The sequence below is a fragment of the Homo sapiens genome, chromosome 22, assembly GCF_000001405.40.
Source record: "Homo sapiens chromosome 22, GRCh38.p14 Primary Assembly".
NCBI lineage: Eukaryota > Metazoa > Chordata > Mammalia > Primates > Hominidae > Homo > Homo sapiens.
This window is the reverse complement of record NC_000022.11, coordinates 22,204,835-22,224,784: the sequence shown is the minus strand read 5'-3', so window position 1 is coordinate 22,224,784 and position 19,950 is coordinate 22,204,835. Positions and strand designations below refer to the sequence as shown.

Here is a 19,950-nt window from a genome sequence, read left to right as displayed (position 1 = left end):
CCAGCCCTGCACTTAGCAGGGCTAAGTGCAGTCTGCAGTAATGAATTACATGTGTTTTGTAAAACAACTTCTGCAGTGCTGTTGGCCCTAGCGGAGGACCATAAGATACCTGTTGACCACACATTCACATCTGCCTATCACAAGGTAAGTTGTGTCAAGCCCACCAAGTCTTAAAGTTGGTTAGGCGCAACAGCAATCCATTGTTGAACAGCAGCATCAAGGTGAGTGCAGCCGCTCCCTCCTGTCCACAGGTAGCTGCAGTCTCTGTTCAGTGCCAACCCCTGCCTTGCACCAGGCTGGACTCTGAGGGGACCCCTCACCCTGGCCTTTCCTGCACTCATTGGCACTGAGACGAGAGACCCTGGATGTAGCTGGGGCACTGCTTAGGCCTCAGCCAGTGGTGCCACCCTCTCTCTGTGTCAGAATCGAGCAGGCAACCCTAGTCCACCCTCAGGACCTGGGCGCAGGTGTGCAGTGCTCCCTCTGGAGCTGAGTCAGCAAGAGGATGCAGCAGTCGGGGGACCCACCCGGTGAGCGGGCACCCCCAGTCAGCGTCCACCACTGTCCTCCATCCTCATCCTCGTCCTCATTACTGGAGGAGGGAGCGCATGTCCAGGCAGGCAGGACAGAGCACCGAGCCAGACCAGGAATCAGCGGGAGTGAGGCATCTGCCCACATTCACCGTGTGCTCTGCAGAAAGCCCCCTCAGGCCTCAGTCTGCACCCAGGCTGCCCCGGGAGTGAGACCCCATCCCTGCCCTCCTGCTGCCGCCAGAGTAGCTGACAGGGTGGTCCCATGTGGCCCAGTGACATGAGGGTCATGTGGCATTACCAGTAACAAGCTGGCAGCAAAGCAAAGGGGGGATGGAGTCAGCTGAAACCCACTGGGATGGCGCCAGCGAGGGGCCTTGAAAGTTGAGGAGGTTTCAGGTAAGCAGAAAACAGGGGTAATGGCAGCCAGGAGCCGAAACATGAGCAAGGCTGTCCCCAAGAGCAAGGCCAAGAAGAGTTCCTTCTGCTGGGACGAGGGATCCAGGAGCTTGAGGCATTGGGAGCAGGCAGCAGAGGGCAGGTGGGCACAGTGGGCGTGCCTTTACAGGGCTCCCTTCTCCCGCCAGGCATGGGCTGCAACGAGTGTACGCACCCCTCCTGCCAGCACTCGCTGAGCATGCTGGGCATCGGCCAGTGCGTGGAATGTGAGAGCGGGGTGCTGGTGCTGGACCCCACCTCGGGCCCCAAGTGGAAGGTGGCCTGCAACAAGTGCAACGTGGTAGCGCACTGCTTCGAGAACGCCCACCGCGTGCGGGTGTCCGCCGACACCTGCAGTGTCTGTGAGGCCGCCTTGCTTGATGTGGACTTCAACAAGGCCAAGTCCCCACTCCCGGGCGATGAGGCGCAGCACATGGGCTGCGTCTTTTGTGACCCCGTCTTCCAGGAGCTGGTGGAGCTGAAGCATGCGGCCTCCTGCCACCCCATGCACCGCGGTGGACCAGGGAGAAGGCAGGGTCGAGGGCGGGGCCGGGCCAGGAGGCCCCCTGGGAAGCCCAACCCCAGACGGCCCAAGGACAAGATGTCAGCCCTGGCCGCCTACTTTGTATGATGACCCTGTCCTCCCTCACCCAGGCTGCAGTGCCATGCAGACACCTCATGGCACTTCAAACTATTAAAATGCATTTTATCTTATCCAGAGCTGGGGCCCCTTTGCTGGTGCAGCGATGTCAGAGCGTTACCGTGTCCCTGGGCACCTGTGGGGCCCTCTTTCCCTCTCCGAAACCCAATACGTCTCCCTTCAGCCTGCATACACGTGCCCAGAGTGCTCCCTGCTATCCCTACACCCTGGCAGTACGGGCAGGGATGCCCCAACCCTGAAGCCCTGGGGAATAGACCCAGTTTGCACTCACACCCCATCTCAATCCGTGCTGCTGATGGTAGCTGTGTGCACAAGCAGTGGCCCTGATGCCTTAAGGAAGGCGGCCTTGACAGCTGTGGCTCCGGCAGGAGAGGAGTTTAGTGGAGCAGGTGGGGCTGGGAGACCCCCTCCCTGGATCTGGCTTATGAATCCCCTTGGTCTTCGCTGCAGCCCCCTGCTCAGGGCCACGCTCTTGACCCCACGCTTCTCCGTCCCCTGCTCCCTGCTCCCATCTCTGAGAAGCCCTGTACATGGTGCCCGTGTGCGTCTGGCAGCTTCCCAGGACCTGCTGCAATTCCCATTCTCACAACAAGGCCTTATGGTCTTAGAGGCAGCTGGGTGCCCCATGGAACCCATTCACATGCCAGGTTTAGAAAATACCCTGTAGGCCAGACTGCCCTGTGGTGCCAGGTGCTGGTGGCAGCTGCCCTCTGACCTCAGTGCCTTCTTGTGCTCCCCTCCCCAGCCACCCGAGGAGAGACACCTGTGCGGGATCCACTGTGTGTTGGAAACTCCCTCCACACTCCGCCCGTGCCTCATTGAGTGATGACGGGAGCTCAGCAAAACAGCTTTCCAGACTGTTCAGTGGGACCTTTCTTTGAGGGGCAGGTCAGGAATGTTTCGGACTCAGACCCGCCCCCGCCCCAACTCAGTAGTAGATTCCCAGGCTGCACCAGGACTTATATGAGAGCTCCTGTAAGGAAACCCAGAGCCCACCAAGCATACCCCACCTGGACCCCCTTCCTGGAGGCCCTCACAGGTTAACACGGGGGTTCCCTGGAACACAGTTTGGAGAGCTACTCGAAGCTGAATGAAAATACAGAGACATGGGGAACCACATAGAGGGTCCTGGGATGTGTCTCAGAAGCACAGGCTTCAGGAAGGAGGGGGTGCTCTCAGAGCTTCTGCCCCCTCCCACCCACTCTGGTCCCATTCTGGGGCCCTAGCAAGGCCACACCTGTTAGGTCCCCAGTGCGGGGCTGTGACTCTGCTCTTCCACCCACAGGGCCCAGTGGACCTGGAGCCTTCTCCGCAGAAGGTTTCAAGACCTCCAGGACCCTTAGGTTATAGGGCTCATTCAGGCTTGGAGGAGCAGAGACGGTTCCTAGGTCTTAAACCCAGACCACCCAGTCCTTCCTTACTATGCTTCTGCACTGCGCTTTCAGCCACAGGCAGGGCTAATCACAAAGTGTTCCTTTATTTTCCTCTGCAGTTGTCCCTTGTGTGTGACCCTCCTTCAAGGCCCTTGGCTTCCGCAGCTTGATTCTGCACTCCGAGTCCATTCACCTTCTCCCATCCAATAGCATCCAACCCCGCTGCTACTGCTGCCAACCTGGCCTTGGGAGCAATGAGGACGAGGAAGGGACAAGACCCCTTTTAGGCCAGAACTGCCTTCAGATCAGCCACGCTCCATGGGACTGTACCTCTGCCCTGGAGGCTGGAGAGCTCAGTGGCTGCAGACTGTCTCAAGGAGCCCCTGGCCCTGCCCACCTAGCCAGGGGTGCAGCCTTGCCAGAGAAGCAGAGAAGCGTCTGTGGCTGGGTGGGTGATATTGAAAGATTCCTTTCACCAGGGTGGAAGCCAGGATCTGAGGCGTGATGGAATGTGGACAGTGAGGCAGTGACAGCGCCACAAGGCAGGAGTCATCTCCAGGCACGTCCTTGGCCTGGAGCCCATAGGGACAAGCTCCTGGTGGTGCCTCACTTTGCCATCCTCTCTAAGCCGCAGACCTTGAATGGAATCAGTGCTCAAGAGTCTAATTGGGCCCACTCTGAGGATGCCTGCGGGAATATCAGCTTTTACCGCACCACACTGCACTTTACAGTGTGGGAGGGCCTGCCCCACGCACCACCTCACCTATACTGCGGTTCTCAAACTTCACCCTACAGCCATTCTGTTGTAGGTGATCTCAGGGGCAGTTTGAGAAACAGTGGCTCAGGGTCTCACAGCAGCCCTCTGAGATAGGTTGGTTGCTATTGTCCCGATTTTTTCTCATCAAGAAACTGAGGCTCAGGTGAGCTAAGGAATGTGCCCAGGGCCACAGTTTATAAGAAGTAGCCTCAAGCCTTGCTCATGGTTACTGCCCTGACAGGGATCTAGGAAGGAGTGAGCAGGAGAATGGGATGAGGCAGGACCCTCCGCCCCAGCCCTGCTTTCTCTGCCCAGACACCTCCTGCCTTGCAGACCCAACCCCACCCCAGATGGTTTCCTTTCCAGTCACCCAGCTGCTAGTTCTCCAGGTTCCTGGTCTCACTCCAGGTTCCTCCTGTTAGAGAAGCATCCCAGAGACATTCATTCCTGGCAAGGATGAATGGTTTTCCATCTCCCTTAGGGTGTCCAGACTCTCTGCCCACACCTTCATAATTTAGTTCTTTATTTATATTTTCATCAAATTCTATTTTAATTATACCAGGTATTTCCCCCGATCACTGATGAATATCTTCTAATTATAATTGGATTCCTAATAAACTTATTTGGTAAATAAATCTCCTGTATCATGTGCACGTCTTGGGAAGGAAATTGTTGCCCACAGAAACGTGAGGAGGCTCAGAATGTGCTATTAGCAATGATGCAGACATTCTGCAAGTGATAGTTGCGTGGAAGGGCTGCAGACTCTCACCGTAGGGCATACATGGCTGAAGCGTCACCACCAGTGCTGGCTGTTGTCACAAACAGCAGGGGCCTAGTGGGAGCCCAGGCAGCACAAGCAGAGGGGATTTTCCCATTGGCCTAGAGCACAGTGTAAGCCATGCCCTGTCAGCCCATCTGAGAGAGATGATCTGCTCCATCCTCAAGGTGAAGGCCAGAGACGACCAAATAACTTGAGACTCTGGAGGAGCCTCTCAACCCAGAGAATTGTCTGGGGACCCCAGAGGCCTGGTACTCATTTTAGCCTGAGCATAATCTCAGAACATAGTTGGAGGGCTCCCTGGATTCTGTAGGGAAAAGAAGGTATTTTTGCCACCGATATGAAAGCCGATATGCTCTGAGTGCAGGTGAGTGTTTGATCTGCATGAAGATGCTGGGAGTGAGGACACCTGGGTCAGCCCAGCCTGGAAGAGGGAACCTGGAAATGCAAACATTTACATTGTTGGAGCAGGTGTCAGGGTTAAGCTGTTGGCAAGTCTGAGCCAGAGGGGCTGACACAAGCTGGGAACTGCCCCAGGTCTCTAGGCCTTTTCCCTACATGTGCAGGGAGTGAGGACAAGCACGAGAGGGGTCCAGGCCATGGTAGACACAGCTCCCTTTGGTCCAGTGGGATGGATTGAGTTTATTACCTGCTGTAGGCCTCAGCGAGGAGGAGCTGGTCATGCAGGTGTGGCCCCAGCTGCTATCTGCCCCACCTCTCCCTGAGCACTGAATAAGGATCTTTTGCTGAGGGTCTTGTGGGTAGGAAGGGCTAACAGGCAGTGAGACTCTGTCTGCCCCACGGAAGGACCTGGGAGGGAAAGCTGCTGGGACAGCTGGTAGGCCTGTGAGCAGGGGCTCTGCTAGGCTAGAGAGGACCCTTCTCTGAGTGCCCATCACAGTCCAGGCTCACTGGAACTAGAGGACACCCCTACTGAGCCCTCCATGAGAGCACCCAGTGCAGTCCTCGGTGACCCTGACATCCTCAGTCCATCTTCTGTGTTCTCAGGGGGTCTAAGACTTCCTGTCATCTGACTGGTCACTGTCATTCAACAAACAGTAATTGAAAAACCTGAATGGCCAGTGATGTGATCAGCTCCAAAGTACTTTATATTAATATATTCTACATGTTTATGGACAACACACTATCAAACCACGAAAAGACATGGAAGAAACTTAAATGCTTATTAGTAAGTAAAAGGAGCTGACCTGCAAATGACATGATACGTGATTCCAAGTATATTACAGTCCAAAAAGGGGGAAATAATTTCAAGTGTATTACAGTCAAACAAAGGAAAAAAGTAGAAAAGTCATCGACTTCCAAAGGTTAGGGGAGAGAGAGAGATGAATCAGTAAAGCCAGAAGATTTGTAGGGAAGGGAAATACACTGCATGATACTGTAATGGTGGATATATGTCATTATATATTTGCACAAACCCATAGCCATAGGATGTGCATCAGCGAGAAAAATTCCTTAAGGAAAATACTGACTTGTAGTGATAATGACCTGTCAATGTGGTTCATCAATTACAGGACATGTACATTTCTGATGGGACCCGTTGATAAGGGGGAAGGCTGGACATGTGTGGAGCCAGGGAGGATAGGGAATATCTTTCTACCTTCTTCTGTATTTTGCTATGAACTTAAAACTGCACTAAATTAGTGGCCAACAAAACTGTGGAGAAATGCTCATCATCACTAATCATCAAGATATGCAAATCAAAACCACAATGAGACGCCATGTCACACCAGTCAGAATGGCTATAATTAGAGTAAAAAAACAACAGCTGATGGTGAGGCTGTAGAGTAAAGAAAACACGTATACACCGTATTTCAGGCATTGTGGAAAGCAGTTTGAAGACTTCTCAAAGAACTTAAAACAGAGCTACCATTTGACCCAGCAATCCCATTACAGGGTATCTATCCAAAGACAAATAGATCATTATACCCAAAGGCCACATGCACTTGTATATTCACCACCACACTATTCACAATACCAAAGACATGGGATCAACCTAGGTGCCCGTCAGTGGTGGGTTGGATAAAGAAAATATAGTTTATATACCCCATGGAATACTATGCATCCATAAAAAGGAATAAAATAATGTCCTTTGAAGCAACATGGATGCAGCAGGGGGACATAATCCTAGGCAACTAACACAGGGACAGAAAGCCAAATACCACGTGTTCTCATTTTTAAGTGGGAGATAAACATTGAGCACGCATGGCATAAACATGAGAACAATAGACACTGGGCACTGCTAGGAGGGGGAGGGAGAGGAGGGAATGGTGTAAAAAACTACCTGTTGGGTACAATGCTCACAACCCGGGTGCAATACACCCATGTAACAAACCTGCGCGTGTACCTGCTATATTTAAAATAAAAGTTGAAATTTAAATTAAAAATATGTATTAAGAGCAATTTAAAAAGATAAAATTGTATACTTCAACATCACACAATATACCCTTGTAACAAACCTGCACATGTACCACCTGAATTTAAAATAAAAGTTAAAAATTTTAAAAATAAAAAATAAAATAAACATATTAATGCAAAATTTTAAAATAAAATGTTAACTCATTCTGGGAGGCTGAGGCAGGAGGATCGCTTGTGCCCAGGAGTTCGAGACCAGACTGGGCAATATGTTGAGACAAATAAGATTTGTTTTTAATTAGCCAGGCATGGTGACACCCACTTGGAATCCCGGCTACTCAAGGAGCTGAGGTGGGAGGATCACTTGAACCAGGAAATTTGAGGAACGAACTGATTTCAACACCAGATTTACGCATTTATACACCATTGTCAAGTGGGATTTATACTTAAAATAATGGTTGGGTTCAACATTAATAAAAGTTTTGGTATAATACCATATTATTACATCACAACCAAAGATCATATTGTATCAATAGATTTTTAATGTGTTTGGCAAATTTTAATATCTATCCCTAATAAAAATCACGTAAGAATACAGAAACAGATAAATTTGTTTATGATATGGTAACACACATGCGTGTGCACGTGTGCACGCGCACGCGCGCGCGCGCGCACACACACACACACACACACACCTGTCTTGGTCCGGAGTCATCATCTTACTGCATGGAGGACATTTTCCCTGAGATCAAAAAAATGCAAAGGTACCCCTTACCTCACTCATTACTCATCATTGCTCTGAAAATATAAGACAAGAAAATTAAATAAAATGTATTAATGGATAGATGTCTGCCCTGATGGGAATAGACAGTATGAAAGACCAAATGCATTTTATGGTCTTAGATCTTTGGGTTCTTGTGCCAGAAATGACAGCACAAATATCCCCAATGAGCCCATGTTGGTCACAGGTGATGAAAGGGGGGCAAACCACTGGGTAACACACGCAGAAGGGAGAACTTTAGCCCACTTTTCTCAGGGCCAGGAGGAATATTTCAGCTCTGAGGCTGTCACCCTAGGTCTGCGATGATGATCATCCTCCTGCTCAGGGTGCAGCACAGTGAACAGCCATCAGCACCTTCAGAGTGCTTCAGGATGGAGCTTCTGGTGCCAGACTGCATCAAAGCTACCCACATTTCTCCAGCTTCCCTTAGTTCTGACCAAGTGACCACAGCACTGACACAGAGTCCAGGGTCACAGCTCACTTGTGCCTTGTGAGCCAGAGCAAGAAGGCAGGTCTTGTGTGACCTCAGCGGCCTCTTCCCCTAAGCCCATGACAAATATCCCTTTTATAAAGAACTGAGGGAGAAAGGCCCCAGGGTGTGGTGGGGACACCTCAGAGCTCTGTCTCCAGAAGCTCCACTGCGGGGAGGATGGCCACAAGCTGTGTTGGATCCCCTGGCCAGGCTCTCCTAGGCACAGAATCACTCCATCCATATGCACCCTGGGTTCTCACCGTGTATCAGCACTTCCTGAACCAGACTTGGGTAAAGACTTTAAAGAGGTAAGAGAGAGATGCCTCAAATCTAAAGCAACGCAATGGGAAAGGTGGACTCAGGAGGTGACAGGGTAGTGGGGCCTCATGGGTGGAGAAAAGTCACACATCAGTGGGGACACTGTTTGGTCAACTTCCCTAGAGTCAGCTGAGTGGTTTACCAGCTGTCTGCACACTAAATAACACAGTAAGTTTCCCAGGTGTCACTACCCAACAATAGAGTGAGAAGGATCCTCCATGCATTCATCACTGGAAGAGTGATGCTCTCATGCGTGGATTTTTATCTTGATGGAAAATTATCCTGAAAACAGCTATATAGGTGTTTTCTTTTTCTCAAAATGTCAACATCTCTGTCAACTGTACCCCAAAGCTCCAACTTCACCTGCTCTCTCCACACACTGCCCATGGCTGTTAGAGGACAGTGATGAGTCGAAAGAAGAATACGCATGGGAACACTGTTTTGAGTGTGTGGGTGTTGAGATTACACAGTAATGTGGGGCCCAGGAGGCCTCAACCAAATGTATTGGACATATTTGGATCTGGAGGAGTCCAGGGATCCCTGTGACAGCAGGGAAGGGGATTCTAATGAGAAGACAGGGCATGAGCAGGCCACAGAAGGGAGGGGCTGCTGGTGGCCCTGCTGAGTGGATTCTCAAGGCCAGAGAGCAGCACCCTCGGTGACTTGATCCCAGCATCTTCAAATGGAATGGATAAGAAAACTCTGGAATAATAAATATTTCCTTAGTTAAACCTAGTGTTTCTTTTTTACTAATTGCTAGTGCATATGTATGTTCATGCACTAGTATTATATATATGTAACTACTAATATATAAACAATGATGTTCCCTACACACATTTGTTAATAAGGCAGGCTTGCTAATTTCACTTCATGTTCCTATTTTTAACAGTCCTAAATAGTGTACACTATTGTGAATGCATCCCTTGTCTTTTGGGTGGTCCAGTTTAAACAGTGCTCTGTGAGGCCTGTTCAGTGAGGCCGAGGGAGCTCTTGAGTTTTTATCTCACTTCCCCACTGGCCTGAGGCACTGTGTGAGCACTGAGGCTGCTGTCCAATGCTGAGCAGTAATAGTCAGCCTCGTCCTCAGGCTGGAGTCCAGTAATGGTCAGGGAGGCTGTGTTTCCTGACCTGGATGCAGAGAATCTCTCTGAGATCCCTGAGGGCCGGTTGTTATTCCTGTAGGATAGGAGTTTGGGAGGGTGGCCCTGGTGCTGCTGCAGCCAAGCTGCTCCTTGGTTGCCAACAATGTTGCTGTTCCCAGTGCAGGTGAGTGTGGCGGTCTGTCTCAAGCCCTTGGACACCGAGGGTGGCTGAGTCAGCCCTGCCTGGACCACTGACACTGTAGAGGGGACAGAAAGGAATGTGAGAGCAGGATCAGAGTCCACTGAGCCAGGGAGTGGAGAAGCTGGAGCAGAGGTGGGTGCAGATCCCTGGGTAAGGTCCACTCTCACCTGCAGAGTGAGTGAGGAGGGTCAGGAGGAGCAGAGCCCAGGGCATGGTGCAGATTCCCACTATGCTTGCTGAAGCTCTGTTTGGAGACTGGGCTCCCCTAAGTCTCTTTTTTATAGCTCCCAAAGCCTTCATGGGGGTGGAGTCACAGCATTTAAATAAGATCTTGCTCTCTGACTTTTCCCGGGCCTCCATGTGCTGGTTACTCAAAGATCTGAAGCAGAGAGGGAGGAGATGAGCTGACCCAGGGGTGGAGGTGGCCTGGCTTATGGTGACCCCTGTCCCCACAGGTCTGTGTTGCAGCCCAAACCGAGTCTCAAGAGCACCCTGATGGCTAAACTTCAATGCAGGTTCTGAGTGGTTTCCAGGCTGGTTGGGGCCATCTCAGGAATTTCTCCCACTGTCCCACTCTGTCCAAGATCCCAAACCTTTCTTACCTCTCGGACACAACTGGGCCATGGTAGCCAGAGAGTCACTGGTTATCCTGATCCTCTTCTGAAGCTGCTCATGGTGTTGGAGAGGGACCCAGGGACCATGAGAAATCTAAATAAAAGGGGTTTCTGGCAAAGCAGTGCCCTTCTCACTAACAATGAGCTGCAGAGAGCTTGTCATCCACTGCATCAGCAGCTCATGTAGACTCGCTTTACTTAATCATCTGTTACCACCCCCAAATCAAGAATATTTTTCTGTATTAATTTTTTGGAATTTAATTACGTAATATTATTAGTACTTTTATCACTAGACACTAAAAACCTCTCTATGGATTTATTTCATTTTTTAGCCATTATACGTGTCTCCATCTCTTCCTAAGACACCCATTTATGTGAAATAATGTGCCTCCAGTCTACTTTCCAAAAAGCCCGTTATATAAGCTTGAAGAATTCGTTATGCATGTTTCTGCTTTAAAATAAGTGGCACATTGTTTTTTTCTTGAGAGCTTTTGATTTTGTTTAATTTGGTGGGAGTTTGTTGTTATTGTTTTTCAACTGATAATTATATTTTTATTCGTGTCGCATAAGAAGTTGTATTACTTCCAACTGGCTAGCATTTTATCTTCTCCTTGTGTTATAAATTCCACTTGTGTTGAACACCTATGTTGCTTCCAATACTTTGCTCCGAATAAGGATCTCTTTATAAACATTTCCTTGTGTCTCTGTATAGGTGGACTTCTGCTTGACAGAGGCAAACACACTTCTCCTTGTGTGCTGAGGAACTTTTCTCCAGATGGCAGCACTTGTTTATTCACCCAGCTGTGAGTGTTTGTGATTCCCAACATGCTCACTGGAATCTTAGTTTATTTTATTTTGCAATATCATTTTACTGTTCCACACTCTCAATGACTTCATGCTTCATTCAGAAGTAAATCCACAGTTGTCAAAGCACCACGTGAACCCACAGTATCTGCCTCCCTCCCTCCCTCTGCCAACTCTCTGACCACGTCTCCTATGCTCTGAACTAACTCCTTTCCTCCCTCTCTACCCACCGTCTCTCTCCCCGCTCAAGTCAGAAGATGATGATGGGCCATGTGTGAGATTGGATGGGACTAGGGTAATGGGCTGTATCAAGGGGGCAGGCTAGAATCTTGGATCCGCACAGCCACCTCTGCTTATACCTACCTACACTCCTTCTCAAGGACAATATTTTAAACATAAATATAAACATAAGAGAATGGATACAACCTCACTAGTCACTGCTAAAATGTTTTGAGCGTCTTCATGTAAGAGAAAATTTCAATATTGATCATTGTCTCTTATAGTAGTGAGCTTTGACACTATTTTCTTATGTGTACTGTGTATTTCATTGTTTTTTAAACCCAGAGTTTATAGATTTTGATATTTTGTCAACATTATGAACTGCTACATTTTAAAGTGATTTCTGAAAATATATGAGAGAAAAAGAAATGTTGATATGCTATTTGCACATATGATAACATTTGTATTTAACAAGCTTTAATTCAACAATGTGTAAGAACATCAGAATAATATAATGCCTTCTTGGTAGATAAACATAGCAACTAAAAAATACAAATTATTTCATATTTTTGAATTAAATTATTGTATTTAAATGTTTTACACTTTTGCTTATTTCTCATATTGCTAGAAAAATATGTTATCCAATATCTTTATGGGCCATAAGCTTTCTATTGTTCCACATTAAAAATAAAATGATTCTAGTGGTTCAACCTTAGGGGTATCTTTTTTTTAGATATAAATGGACATTATTAAGAAATTAAAGAAGTATACTATATTCCCATATTTCTTAATTTGTCTTTGTGTGTGTATATACACATGCATGTATATATATATAAATATATACACACATGCATACACACAAATATATATAATATAATATATGTCTATATATGCACATGTATATGCATATGTGTAGATGTACATATCTAGATATTTAATAAAGGAATGATGGTTAGAATTTCCTGAAAATTCATAGAAAAGGCAATTTTTGTTGTTAAATTATTTAATAATGGGAACGAGAGACACTAAATAAATAGCCCTTGACACAAAGCCGTCTTTTTTTTTTTATTTTACTTTAAGTTTTAGGGTACACGTGCACAACGTGCAGGTTTGTTACATATGTATACATGTGCCATGTTGGTGTGCTGCACCCATTAACTCATCATTTACATTAGGTGTATTTCCTAATGCTATCCCTCCCCACTCCCCCAACCCCACAACAGGCCCCGGTGTGTGATGTTCTCCTTCCTGTGTCCATGTGTTCTCATTGTTCGATTCCCACCTATGAGTGAGAACATGCGGTGTTTGGTTGTTTGTCCTTGCCCATAAAAAATTATGAGTTCATGTCCTTTGTAGGGACATGGATGAAGCTGAAAACCATCATTCTCAGCAAACTATCACAAGGACAAAAAGCCATCGTTCTCACCCTGAGCATGTTGCCCAATTTTTATCTCCCTCTTCCTTTGTGAATTTTTCCATCAGAGATTCTCCTCTTTGATTCCTGTCCCCTGATAGGGCGTGTCACCTCGAGCCACAGATCTTTCAGGAAACACAGGACTCAGGCCGCTGAAACAACGAGGAAAACAAGGTGACACCATGCATAGTGTCCTTCTCTCACCTTCACCTTTTATGGATTATTCCCGGCTAGGACTACAACTCACACATTTCCCCCACTCCTGTGGCTGGGATAGCAGGAGACACAAAGCACCAAGGGTGTGCGCCCACCGGAGTCAGAATCGGATCACTTCCTTCCCATGATGCTCAGGTAGACCTTACTGCCTGGTTCTCCTTCTTCTCCAGGAAGAGCAGCCCTTGGGAGGACTCCGGCATCCTATGAGCAGGGAGCTTGTGGCAAGCAGCTTTGCCTGCAGCTGAGGCAGGGATAGAACAGGCTGCACGGGTCCTGAGGAGGGCAGCGAAGCCCACAGCCTGGGTATGGGAGGAGTCCTCAAAGGAATCACAGTCATGTTTTGAGCCTCCAGACAGACAAGGACTTCTGGATGGCAGGAACCCAGCTGATCAGTCTGGAATGCTCTTTTCTCCTGCTGGGCAGGGCTGAAGACAGTTTCTCTCTGACCAGCTACTGTGGACCCAGAGTGATGACCAGCCTGAGCCATAGAGTTTGTGCCTGTGTAGGGATGCTCAGGCTGAGAATGAGGCAGCAGCAGTATGACCACAGTGCAGGAAGCTGGAGGGGCATGCAAGCCACGTGCTCACACCTGGAGTGGAGGGACATGCAAGCCACGTGCTCACACCTGGAGTGGAGGGACATGCAAGCCACGTGCTCACACCTGGAGTGGAGGGAAAGCCTCCTTGATAGAGCAATATTGAAGGCACGCACTGCATTTATTGTCACATGATTGTGCTGTGAGACACCTTACATATTTATATTTAGTTGTCAGAAAAACCTCATGGTGACTGAGACAGATGTCAAACTCACCTTTACCCTCCCTTGGCCCATGCCATAGGAGACACATCCTGTACCACAGCTTCTGGAGTGGGAACCCTGCTACAGAATATGCTTTAAAGTGGTATCTGCCCATGTTGATGTGAAGACAGCTTTTCCTTTGTTTTCCCGTCACCTTCCGTTGAGGGGTGAGATCAGGCCCCTCCCTGTTAACCAGATCTGGCACTAGTGATCTCTCGGCACTGACAGTTTCTGTGGAAGTGACACTTTATAAACCAAGTCAGAGCTCTGAATTCTCTGGGACTGCCCAGCTTCCTGGAAACCCAGGCCACATGGGAGGCCTCAGGTAGGTCATTCAGCCAAGGCCGGCTTCACTGCAGACTCTCAATGAGGTCACCTTCAGTCGATTCCAACCCCTTCATACCAAATCAGCCCCAATCTGTGAAGCTTTTTTGCTGAGGCTCCATCATAAGGGGAAATGAGTCACCCACAGCAGCCGTGTCTGAATTACTCACCTATGCCTACAAGCAAAAAAAGTGCATGTTTTATTCCACTCTTGAGGCTGGATAATTCTTGTTTCCTTATCTGTTTGTTTTTGCATAATAACAGATGTAGCTCTTGCAGGAAACTCATAATATAAAAGAGAATGAACACTGCAATCTGAGTTTTCTTCCTTTCATGTTCTGCAGCCTTTCAGGTTGTGATTCCAAATATAAAAGCCAGTAAGTTGGCCTGAACCCTGGAGGCGGAACTTGCAGTGAGCCGAGATCGCGCCACTGCACTCCAACCTGGGCGACAGGGCGAGACTCCGTCTCAAAAGAAATAAATAAATAAAAATTTTTAAAAAGCCAGTAAGTTTTTGCATATTCTTACAGAATTATTAACTGAACTATTAATAGCACTGACATCATGACAATCTTTTTCCTAAGGGCTTTTTATGTTTAGTTATTTATTCTTCATCTACTCTAGAGAGTCAGGTGGCAGCAGGAAGGAGGTTTCTCTGCTCCACTAAGACTGTCCCCAAGCTGGGAAGGCTGAACTGCTCCTCATCACCTTCCTAACACTCCTCCTCCCATTATCATGTGATATTCTTACTCTTTGTTCATTTTCTCCTCCAGTTGGAAACTCAAAAAGGTAAATCTGTTTTCTAGTTTTGCTGTTTCTCTTTTTGTGTGTGCTCATGTTTAAGATCCAAACATACACAAGAAATTTGAAGGGAATCGGCAATGATAGGCACTTGTACCAACAGCTTTAAATACCACGAATGGTAGTGACTTTGTCTTGAACATGACAACCCTCTTATCTTTGAACCAAAACCTTCACTTTTTAGATGAATTTTGGGGTCGTCACTTCCTTTCCTATACCTGGTTTTCATGAGATCATAAGAATGTGTGTGATTGTTTCTTGATTTCTTATCCAAAACAAAAATTTAATTCTACAATTTTGTGAGATAAAAATTTCATTTAGAAAAGTATATATTATATATTTCTTCACCCAACATATTCGCTCAAACAGAAATGCACTGGTGAAAATACTGTGATTTTTTTTTTTTTTTTTTTTTTTTTGAGACAGTCTCGCTCTTTCGCCCAGGCCGGACTGCAATGGTGCTATCTAGGCTCACTGCAAGCTCCGCCTCCTGGGTTCACACCATTCTCCTGCCTCAGCCTCCTGAGTAGCTGGGATTGCAGGCGCCTGCCACCGCACCCAGCTAATTTTTTGTATTTTTAGTAGAGATGGGATTTCACTGTGTTAGCCAAGATGGTCTCGATCTCCTGACCTCCTGATCCGCCCACCTCCCAAAGTGCTGGTATTACAGGCGTGAGCCACCACGCCCGGCCATGATATTTCTTTATTAATTTCTGGGGAAATGGTCGGTCTTTTTTGAGGGATGCCCTTTTTCATCCTTGTAAGACCATGCTGATGCATGCTGCCCATGGGAAGCCAAAGGGTCAATGAATCCCCTGGCATTGTGTCCAGTCACTCCATTTCCTTCTCCCGTAGCTTTTCAGGGAAGCAGCCCTGAGAACTCAGAGGATCTTTCTCTGATTGAAGCATCTGACCTCTGGTTGATATCTCTAAACATGCTGTTTTTTCAAAAATCATGTTCACTGTCTTCCAATGACTGTGCAAATGTCTCAACCCACATCCTCCCAGATGCTCAAGATAATCCTTCATTGATATAAAATGGACTCTAATTGCTAATATTCTGAGAAAGTTTTGCTTCTATGTTCATTAATGAGATTGTCTTGTATTATTCAAATCTGTTTCTGTTTCTGTTGAGTTTAGTTTTACTCTTTCGCTGGAACATCAAAATAAGTATGTGTGTTTGTGTGTGTGTGTGTGTGTGTGTGTGTGTGTTTATAATTTTATACAAAGGTCCAGACTGTATAAATGGCAGTTAGCACTCTCTAACCCAGCCCTCTACAAGGAGGTTTAGAAATAATGGATAGAACGAGATAACAAGCTCCTCATGCCCAGACGATAGGACTGAAAGGCAGTGGTAATGTGCACCCAGAAACCTTGACCTCATCCCTAAAAGAACTCCTGATCTAAAGACTGAGGATTTTGAAGTGGACTGAGATTCTGGCCATGCTGGAGAAGCTCCAGGGTTCTTCTTGCTGAGTCTAAGTTGTTAGGATGGGAACTTCCCCAATTCCAAGTGTTTCTCATTCTGTGCCCAGGAAACATTGTAGTTCAAGTTCCTTTGAGCAAATTTGTTCCTGCTGTGTGATTTGTCTCTGCTTGAAGGGCAGGCTTGGACAAGGACTCCATGAGGGCGGAGGATAAAATAGGAAGCATTGGAGTGTGAGTCTAGTGCTCAGTGGCTCCTGAGGTGCAGGAAGTGGCTCCTGCTCGGTGGTGCAGGTGCAGGAAGTCATACTTCAGTGAGGACACTGCTTGCTCAAGTGTATGAGAACCAGTATTTTCCTATGTGGCCTGGCCCAGAGCCCTTCCCTCTCAGGAACAGTCCAACAGCACCCCCTGCTGGCTCCGATCCCAAGTCGGGTGGCCCCTCAGACACAGACCCAGCTCTTCTGGAAGGACATCCTGACCATTGCAAATGGATCTTTCAACTCATGACCTAAGGGAGTAGAATGAGTGGGTCCTCTCTGCAGTGTTTACAGCTGAGACATTATTTCTTTCACGTTAGTTATGGTCTGCAAAGAGCTAATCACAGAATGTGTTTCAGGATGCACAGTGATGATTTACCAGATATCAGCATCACCAGGCGTGTGAGTGTGTTTCTCCCAGGGGCCTGTGGTCATCACCAGTCTGTGGTCATCTTGAACCCAATCTAAGGCTTAATGTTCTGCTGAGCCTCCAGGTGGTTCATACCTGGGGATAATTCTACATGGGCTTCTTTTAGAGGTTGACTTATTTTGTTATTGTCGTTATTGTCGTGAGGGTCGCCTGTGAGATTCCTTCAGCTCCTACTGCACAAGCCTTGGCATTATAGCCCATAAGAATGATGCTGTCAGAAAAAAAGTGTCTCTTGCTCTGTTTCGCCTCTGACTTCTTTTGCTATTTAATATTATCCTGGTAATACCTCTTTTCTTTTGACCATGTTATATATTTAAGGTATTTTAGTCTAATTTTATAATTTTCGTCAATATGTGGATGGATATAAAAAGACAATTCTCAAAAGTGGAACCCCTCCTTTCTTTTTGGATGTTCTCCCCATACTACTGGCCTGAGGAACCCTCACGTCCCATTTCCCCACCATCACTGGGCCCTGATTCATTTTATTCGTTAAGAAGATCCCTGGATTTAATGGGGATTGGATTCACAAAGCCTAGGTCTCAGAGAACTTCTATTCATCCAACATCTTTCCAACCAAAGAACCAGAGACAAGCACTAGAAATGTGGAGTCAACCTGGAGGCTTGAGGCCTTCATGGCTCTGAGAGCTGGGTCCTTACTGCGGAGGGGCTGCCCTGCACCTGGGAACAGAGCAGCTCTTCCAGAGGCAATCTCAAAAGAAAGAGAAACCTAACTTCTCTGTGGGTTCAGAGCCCAAAGGGTGATCAGCAAAGCCAGGGCCAGATGTAGGGACATGTGAAGCCCATGAGGGCCATACCTGCCAAACTTCTGCTGCTCTTCTCATCCCAGCAGACAACAACGAGGGCTATCTTTGTTACTGTGGACATAGTGATTATGTTTTCATTGGGAGACCAGTAAGAAAAGGTGTCTTTTCATTGAATCCGTAAAGATAAACAGAAAATACCATTAAGCCCTCTGGTTTTAGGAGCACGTGTGATAGCATCAGCAAAAACCTGAGCTGGTCTTGGTAGTATTCACTCAAGCAGGCAGAAAAAGGGCAAAGATGGATCTGACAGAAGAGTTGGAAGGCCAATTTCTATCTAATTTTCTCATATGACAGTGACTGTTGGTGGTGACTGAGGCTGCTGTGCTGCCCCTGAATAAATGTCACCATCATCCTCATGCACTGACTGGAACCCAGAGAAAGTCAGGGAGGCTGAACTGCCGACTGGAAGAAGGGACCTGACCTGTGATTGCCCAGCATTAAACTTTTCCACCAGCAGGTGTCCAGAGCATTTCCTGGCTGAACCTGATAGCAGGATCCCTTACCCTCCATGCCACTGGTGGTTCCTGTGACTTCATCGAGATTCAACCTGAGGGTGGCTGGATCACCACAGGCTAAGCCCTGACTTCTAGCTGGAGACATAGAGAATCCTGGAAACTGAAGATGTCCAGAATAATGTGTACCCAGAGAGAAGAGAGGGGTGTGTGTGTGCGTGTGTGTGTGTGTGTGTGTGTGTGTGTGTGTGTGAAAGAGAGAGAGAGAGAGAGAGAACATGTGTCTTCCAGGACCCATTCCTGCCTAGGCAGAGCCTAAAGTGAGTGGCAGCCTGCCTCACGGCCAAAATGTGATCTTGAAATAGCAATTATTAAAAATGCTCAGGCAGCATCCTTTCAATAAGTACCTAAGCCTAAACTGGGGAGTACTGCATTGACACATTCATAGGCTGATCAGTGAAGGGAGAAACCACCTAAATGAGGATATTAACGTGGCATTTCTATGTCTTTCCTCATTGAATTAAACGCAAGTACAGGTTCTATGATCACTGAGCTGAGAATCTTTTCAAAGGAGAATATTCTTTCCAGTAGATTTAATATTATCACAAAATTAAAACAAACCAATTTCATTATTCTCACATTCTAAGACTCTGGTATATTTAAACGTTAAATTAAGAGCATGTTTTGAAAACCTCTCAATAGGGGCAGGAACACCTATATTTAAGACTCCTCTACCTTTACTTTAAAGAAACACATCACTTTCCATTTGGAGGGGAATGTCAGAATTCTATCAGCCACATAGATCTTTTTATAAAGTATGATTTTACATTTTATTTATTCATTCAATCAACTGGGAATTGCTGTATTGTACAAATACAATGTTGTACAAAAATCACAGAATGTTACAAAATAAAAAGTACAAACTGCATTACTTAATAAATGTGACTACAATTAGGCAAAGTGGCAATATGATAGATTTTAGGTGGGAAACATTAACACAACAAACCATACAATCTCTGCAGACATTTGTACATTATAAAATAGGATGATCCTATTTTGCCTTTTAAAAGAATTTAAAAGGAGTATTAAGACGGTATCTTCTGCTATGAAATAACTGCCGAGGTTGGCTCCAGGCATTTATGCCATTAGCTTTTAAAACTCTTAGGGGACTCCAACATGCTATATTGCAGTAGGTTTAGCTTGTCACAGAGTCTTATACCATGTTAAGATTACCTTAAAACAAAATCACAAACATAAATAAAAACAATTGAGATCACCCAACATTCTGCTCTAACATCAATCTAGTGCAGATTAGTCACTCTGCCATCAGCAAGCATCAGACTTTCATTCAAGTAAGACCTGGTACAATCCGTTAAAGAAGAAGAAAAAAAAAAACTTCCCACAATCCTTTGTTAAGTATTTCTCTCTAAAAGATTGACCATTTCTAAACAAATAATGGTTCCAAAACAACAAATCTATTTGTATCAAAATGTAATGGGCCAATCATTTGGTAACAAGAATGCATCAATATAAGTTTCTAAGAATTGTAAAATTCAAATTTCAACAGCGTAACTACCAAATCACAAACTCTGTTCAAAATAATA

The 19,950-nt window shown here is 46.6% G+C and overlaps 2 pseudogenes, 1 gene segment (V, D, J or C) and 1 further gene; 1 reads left to right on the top strand and 3 right to left on the bottom strand.

Moving 5' to 3' along the window:
- IGL (immunoglobulin lambda locus) overlaps positions 1-19,950 on the bottom strand; it is an 896,838-nt gene that overhangs the window by 698,129 nt on the left and 178,759 nt on the right.
- On the top strand, positions 1,120-1,599 carry TOP3BP1 (DNA topoisomerase III beta pseudogene 1; annotated as a pseudogene).
- IGLVIV-53 (immunoglobulin lambda variable (IV)-53 (pseudogene)) lies at positions 4,652-5,138 on the bottom strand (annotated as a pseudogene). Its single transcript is given in 2 exon segments — positions 4,652-4,975; positions 5,096-5,138. Coding segments are annotated over 2 exon segments (367 nt in total).
- IGLV10-54 (immunoglobulin lambda variable 10-54) lies at positions 9,514-9,978 on the bottom strand. The segment is given in 2 exon segments: positions 9,514-9,820; positions 9,933-9,978. Coding segments are annotated over 2 exon segments (353 nt in total).